The 7,295-nt window shown below is 42.7% G+C and overlaps 1 long non-coding RNA gene across 1 annotated transcript in view; it reads right to left on the bottom strand.

Moving 5' to 3' along the window:
* Nucleotides 1–4,175: 4,175 nt before the first annotated feature.
* Nucleotides 4,176–7,295, bottom strand: part of LNCOG (lncRNA osteogenesis associated) — a 46,087-nt gene continuing 42,967 nt past the window's right edge. The window contains exon 4 of the long non-coding RNA NR_146531.1: nt 4,176–5,671. This is a non-coding gene — a long non-coding RNA (lncRNA osteogenesis associated). The remainder of the gene's footprint in view (nt 5,672–7,295) is intronic.

Here is a 7,295-nt window from a genome sequence, read left to right as displayed (position 1 = left end):
CTCAGATACTGCATTTTTAAAACATGGAAGGTTTGGCTGGGCACGGTGGCTCACGCCTGTAATCCCAGCAGTTTGGGAGGCCAAGGCGGGTGGATCACCTGAGGTCGGGAGTTCAAGACCAGCCTGCCTAGCATGGAGAAACTCCGTCTCTACTAAAAATACAAAATTAGCTGGGCTTGGTGGTGCATACCTGTAATCTCAGCTACTCAGGAGGGTGAGGTAGGAGAACTGATTGAACCCGGGAGGTGGAGGTTGTGGTGAGCTGAGATTGTGCAATTGCACTCCAGCCTGGGCAACAAGAGCAAAACTCCATCTCAAAAAAACAAAAAACAAAAAACAAAAACAAGGAAAGTTTGTGGTAGCTCTGTGTTAAGCAAGCCTACCAGTTCCATTTTCAACAGCACGTGCTCACTTCGTGTCTCTGTGTCACATTTTGGTGATTCGCACAGTATTTTTAACTTTTTCATTATTATTATATATACATGGAGATCTGTGATCAGTTATTTATTTATGTATTTATTTATTTATTTATTTTTGAGACAAGGTCTTACTCTGTCATCCAGGCTGGAGTGTAGTGACATGAACACAGCTCATTGCAGCCTTGACTTCCTGGGCTCAGGAGAGCCTCCCCTCAGCCTCCCGAATAGCTAGGACCACAGGTGCACATCAACATGCCCGGCTAATTTTTTAGCTGTTTTTGTAGAGATGGGGTCTCACCTTATTGCCCAGGCTGATCTTGAACTCCTGGGCTTAGGTAATCCTCTTGCCTCAGCCTCCCAAAGTGCTGGGATTACAGGTATGAGCCACTATGTCCAGACTTTGATCAATGATTTTTGATGTAACTATTGTAATTGTTTTGGGGTGCCATGATCCATGCCCGTAGAAGATAGTGAACTTAATTTATAAATGTCATATGTGTTCTGACTGTTCTGCCGACTGGCTGTTTCCCTGTCTCTCTCCCTGATCTTGGGTCTCCTATTCTGAGACACAGCAGTGTTGAAGTTAGGTCAATTAATGACCCTACAAAGGCCTCCAAGTTTTCAACTGAAAGGAATAGTTACTTGTCTTTCACTTTAAACAAAAGGTGGAAATGATTAAGCTTAGTGAGGAAGGCATGTCTAAAGCTGAGATAGGCCAAAAGCTAGGCCTCTTGCACGGGTCGGTGAAGTTGTGAATGCAAAGAAAAAGTTCTGGAAGGAAATTAAAAGTGCTACTCCAGTGAACACACAAATGATAAGAAAGCAAAACAGCCTTCTTGCTGATATGGAGAAAGTTTTAGTGGTAGGATAAAATTTCAAACCTGCCACAACACTCCCTTAAGCCAAAGCCTAATTCAGAGCAAGGCCCTAACTCTCTTCCATTCCATGAAGGCTGGGAGAGGTGAGGAAGCTGCAGAAGAAAGGTTTGAAGCCAGCAAAGGTTGGTTCATGAGGTTTAAGGAAAGAAGCCATCTCTATAACATCAAAGTGCAAGGTGAAGCACTTTCTCCAAAAGCAGAAGCTGCAGCAAGTTATCCAAAAGATCTAGCTAAGATCATTGATGAAGGTGGCTGCTTTAAACAACAGGTTTTCAATGCTGATGAAACAGCCTTCTATTGGAAGAACATGCCACCTAGAACTTCCATAGCTGGAGAGAAGTTAATGCCTGGTTTCCAGGTTTTAAAGGATGGGCTCTCTTGTTAGGGGATAATGCTGCTGGGGATTTGAAGTTGAAGCCAATGCTCATTGAACATTCAAAAAATCCTAGGGTCCTTCAGAATGATGCTAAATCTACTCTACCTGTGTGCTCTAAATGAAACAACAGAGCCTGCGTGACAGCACATCTGTTTATAGCATCTTTTACTGAATATTTTAAGCCCACTCTTTTTTTAATTTAAAAAATTTTTATTACTTTTTAGTTTTTTGTAGAGATGGGGTCTCCCTATGTTGTCCAGGCTGATCTTGAACTCCCGAGCTCAAGTGATCCTCTCGCCTCAGCCTCCTGAAATAATTGGGTTACAAGTATGAGCCACCATGCCTGGTCAAGCCCACCCTTTAAGACCTATTGCTCAGAAAAAAAGGTTTCTTTCAAAATATTTCTGCTCATTAACAATGCCTCTGATCACCCAAGAGTTCTGATGGAGATGTACTAAGAGATTAATGTTGTTTCATGCTTGCTAACATAATATCCATTCTGTAGCACATGGATCAAGGAGTAGTTTCAACTTTAAAGACTTATTCTTAAGAAAAACGTTTCTTAAGGCTATAACTGCCACACGTAAGGATTCCTCTGATGAATCTGGGCAATGTATATTGAAAACATTCTGGAAAGAATTTACCATTCTGGTTGCCACTAAGAATATTTGTGATTCATGGGAAGAGGTCAAAATACCAACATGAGCAGGAGTTTGGAATAAGTTGGTTCCAACCCTCATGGATGACTTGCAGAGGTTCAAGACTTCACTGGAGAAAGTCACAGCAGATGAGGTGGAAATAGCAATAAAATTAGAATCAAAAGTAGAGTCTGAAGATGTGACTGAATGCTGCCATCTCAAGGTAAAACCTGAATGGACAAGGAGTTGCTTCTTATGGATGAGCAAAGAAAGTGCTTTCTGGAGAGGGTATCTAGTCCTGGTGACGATGCCATGTACAATGTTGAAATGACAACAGAAGATTTAGAAGATAACATCAACTTAGTTGATAAAGCAGAAAGCAGTAGCAGGTTTGAGAGGATTGTCTCCAATTTTGAAAGAACTTCTATGGTGGATAAAATGCTATCAAACAGCATTCCATTCTATGGAGAGATCTTTCATAAAAGGGAGAGTCAATTGATGCAGAGAACTTCATTGCTGCCTTATTTTAAGAATTGCCACACCTACCCCATCCTTTGGCAACCACCACCCTGATTAGTCAGCAACCATCAACATCAAGGCAAGACTCTACCCACAAAAAGATTACGGAAGTCATTGAAGGCTCAGATGATCATGAAAATTTTTCAGCAATAAACCATTTTTTAAATTAAGGTATATACATTGCTTTCTTAAGACATAATGCTATTGCACACTTAATAGACTACAGTGTAGAATAACACAATTTTATGTGCACAAGGAAACAAAAATATTCTTGTGACTCACGTTATTGTGATATCTGCTTTATTGCAGTAGTCTGGACCCAAACCCATAATATCTCTGAGGCATACCTACATATACAAAGCACACACTAACTGTCATCTTGGTGTCCCTATGTCTTCCAGCCTTGGGTAGTATATGTATACATTTAATGTTAAAATAAAAATGGCAGCCAGGTGTGGTGGCTCATGCTTGTAATCTCAGCACTTTGGAAGACTGAGGCAGGAGGATCATTTGAGCCCAAGAATTTGAGACCAGCCTTGGCAACATAGTTAGACTCCATCTCTACCAAAAAAAAATTTGTTTTTGATTAGCTGGGCATGGGCTGGGTGTGGTGGTTCACCCTTGTAATCCCAGCACTTTGGGAGGCTAAGGCAGGTGGATCACTTGAGGTCAGGAGTTTGAGACCAGCCTGGCCAACATGGCAAAACACCTTCTCTACTAAAAATACAAAAATTTAGCCAGGCGTGGTGGCAGGTGCATGTAATCCCAGCTACTTGGGGGGCTGAGGCAGGAGAATCGCTTGAACCCAAGAGGCAGAGGTTGAAGTGAGCCAAGATCATGCCACTGTACTGCAGCCTGGGCAAAAGAGCAAGACTCCGTCTCAAAAACAAAAAAAAAACAAAAAACAAAAAAACCCAGCCGGGAATAGTAGTACCTGCCTGTCGTCCCAGCTACTTGGGAGGCTGAAGCAGGAAGATCACTTGAGCACAGGAAGTCGAGGCTGCAGTGAACCATGATTATGCCACTGCACTCCAGCCTGAGTGACAAAGAGACCTTGTCTCAATGTCTCAAAAAAAAAAAAAAAAAAAGACTCAAGTCCTTATCCTACATACTGTGGAAAGTTCAGTGCCTTTCCCATGATTTCTGCAAACCCTAAGGTGCCTCTGTTGCTGGGGTCACTCCTGCTTAGATTTCCTGGTCCCACTAAACTCTCAATCCACCTCACATTCCACTTCTTATGGTTCTTCTCTTCTCTCTGTTACTGTCCAACAGGTTCTTCCTGCCCACTGCAAAACAAAATCAATTCATAGAGACCATGGCATTGCAGTAAAGAAAGAGTTTAATTGACACGACGCCAGCCACGCCATGTGGGAGACAGAGTTATTACTTAAATCAATCTCACCAAAGAATCAGAGGTTAGGAGTTTCTCAAAGATAGTTTGGTGTGCAGGGGATAGGGTATGGGTGCTGCTGATTGGTTTGGGATGCAATCATAAGGGTGTGGAAAACAGTCCTCATGCACTGAGTCCATTTTTGGATGAAGGCTATAGGACTGGTTGAGTCACGGGTCTGCGTGGGGCCATCTAGTTGTCAGAAATGCAAAAGGCTGTCAAAAGGCCAATCTTAGGTTCTACAATACTGAAGTTATTTACAGGAGTAACTGGGGAGGTTGCACATCTTGTGACTTCCAGAATAATGGCTGAATTCAGGCATTCAGGCCCTTCTCATCCTCCTAACTTGGTGGCCTTTCATTAATTTTACAAGGGTAGTTTAGTTTTGGGGAAAGGCTATTATCGTTTACACTATAAACTCAATTTCTGCCAAAGTTAGCTTGGCTTATGCCCAGGAATGAGCCAAGACAGCCAACCTGTGAGGCTAAAAGCAAGATGGAGTCTGCCATGTCCAATTTCTCTTATTGCCATAATTTTGCAAAGGTGGTTTCATCTCCATCCATTGTCAACTTACAAGGGAAAAACAGCATCATTTTTCTCTGATTTCCTCAACAATGCAAGAAGTTCATGTGTATCAGACATTTACCGAAGTTTGAAATAACCCATAGTTTTATAAGACCAAGGAGCACTGCAGATAATTTAAAATAACAAGCATGACTCTTCTTTAAAAACCCCTGGAGAAAATAGATGAGGTAAATATGCCAAAAAGGTAATAACATCTAAAACTGGATAGTTACACAGTGTTATCTTGCTATTTTATTTGATTTTTAATATTTTATTTATATAGTTTTTATAATGAGTTTAAACAACGAAATTAGTCATGGGGCCACAGAAGATACTTTGCTGTCTGTGTTAGGATAAAGGCAAAACTGCCATAACAAAGAATTTCTGAAATGCAGGGGCTAGTGATACAGAAGTTTATTTCACCCTCACACAACAGTCTTCGGGGTGAGTGGCCCAGGTGGGTGAGATGACTCCACATGGCCACATAGGGATCCAAGTTGTTGGGTCCAAGTTGTTCCATCTTGTTTCTCCACCTTCCCCTAGGGCCTTGTCCTTTGCTGCACAAAGTCGGGCTGCAGACACAGCCATGTTCCCATTCACAGATAAGACAAAGAGTGGAAATGGAGGGCGGTCATATTTTTTTTTAAACCAATGAACCCAAGTGCATACATCACTTCCACTTACATTCCACTGTCACGTGGCCACACCTGGCCACAAGGGTGACTAAGAGGTGCAGTCTTTAGGTAGGTAGCCATAGGCCCAGCTAAATGCTGTTCTTCTGGAAGAAAGGGAGAATGGCCTTTGGTGAATTCATGGCAGGCTCCACTTCACTGTCGGTCTCCCTCTATGGGACCCTGGCATTCCTCCCTGCAGTGGCGCTTTTTTGTCTAAAAGGAAGTGAAAGGCTTTTCTCATGAAATACGATTTAAACAGAGACTTGAAGGCAGCTGCGTGGGTATCTGAGTAAGAACATTCCAGCACAGGGAACGACAAGCGTCAGAGGCATTTAAACCAAACAGACTCCATCTTGAAAAGTGGCTGGGTAAAATAAGGCTGAGACCTACTGGGCTGCATTCTCAGGAGGTCAGGCTTTCTTAGTTATGGGATGAGATAGGAGGTTGGCCACAAGGTGCAAGTCATAAAGACCTTGCTGATAAAACAGGATGTGGTAAAGAAGCTGGCTAAAACCCACCATAACCAAGATGGTGATGAAAGTGACTTCTGGTCATCCTCACTGCTTACTATACTCTAATTATAAGGCATTAGCATGCTGAAAGATATTCTCACCAGCACCACGACAGTTTACAAATGCCATGGCAACGTCAAGAAGTTAACCCTATGGTCTAAAAGGGAGAGGAACCCTCAGTTCCAGGAATTGCCCACCCCTTTCCCAGAAAATTCATGATTAATCCACCCCTTGTGTAGCATATAATCAAGAAATAACTATAAGTATGCTCAGTTGAGCAGTCCAGGCCACTGCTCTGCCTATGGAATAGCCATTCTTTTATTTCTTTACTTTCTTAATAAACTTGCTTTCACTTTATGGACTTGCCCTGAATTCTTTCTTGCATGAGATCCAACAGCCCTCTCTTGGGGTCTAGATCAGGACCTCTTTCTGGTAATACAAGTACCAAGCCCATCCAGACAATGCAAGGTGCCAGAGGTCTCAGAGAGTGAAAGGAAGTGATGCCCATTGTCAGCCATAGCCAAGCAGTTGGATTGATTCTGAGATGATGTGTCACTGGAGGGCTCCAAGCAGAAAAGTAATATGATCTGGTTTATACTTTATAAGGATTATTTCAGCTGCTGTGTGAAAAATAGCCTGTGGGGGTAAGAGTGAAGACTGACAGGCTCATTCGGAGGCTACTGAAATAATCTAGGACAGAGACACTGGTGGCTTGGGTGTGGAGGTGTTGTGGAGGTGGGGACAAGTGGTCAGGCTCCAGACACATTTTTTTCGATGGAGCCAAAAGGACTTAAAGGAATGCATGTAGGATGTGAGAGAAGTAGAGGAATCCAAGATGACTTCAGAGATTTGTCCTGAGCCACTAAAAGGCTGGCATTGCCACTGACAGAGCTGCATAGGGCTGGAGAATGAATGGGTTGAGGTGGTGGGGCAAGGAATATTGAGCTCATTTGTAGATATATTGGCAATGCCATGTTGCAGAGTGACTGACTATACAACTCATGGGAGGGCTAAGTCATTAGTATATAAATAGCATTTAAAGCCATGGGCTTGTATGAGACCCCTAGGAAGTGAGTATAGCCAGAAAGGGAGAGTGGCCAAGGCTGGAGCTCTGGGAGCTCCAATATTCAGATGGCAGGAAGATGCAGACCAAAAGAGTTTGAGAGGAAGCAGCCAATGAAGTAAGAAGGGAACTCAAAGTGGCATGACATCTGTATCAGTCCACTTTCACACTGTGATAAAGATACTACCTAAGACTGGATCATTTATAAACAAAAGAGGTTCAATTGACTCACAGTTCCACATAGCTGGGGAGGCCTCAGGAA

Source organism: Homo sapiens, chromosome 12 (genome assembly GCF_000001405.40).
Source record: "Homo sapiens chromosome 12, GRCh38.p14 Primary Assembly".
Taxonomy (NCBI): domain Eukaryota; kingdom Metazoa; phylum Chordata; class Mammalia; order Primates; family Hominidae; genus Homo; species Homo sapiens.
Note: the sequence above shows the minus strand (reverse complement) of the source record. Positions and strands in the feature narration are given on the sequence as shown.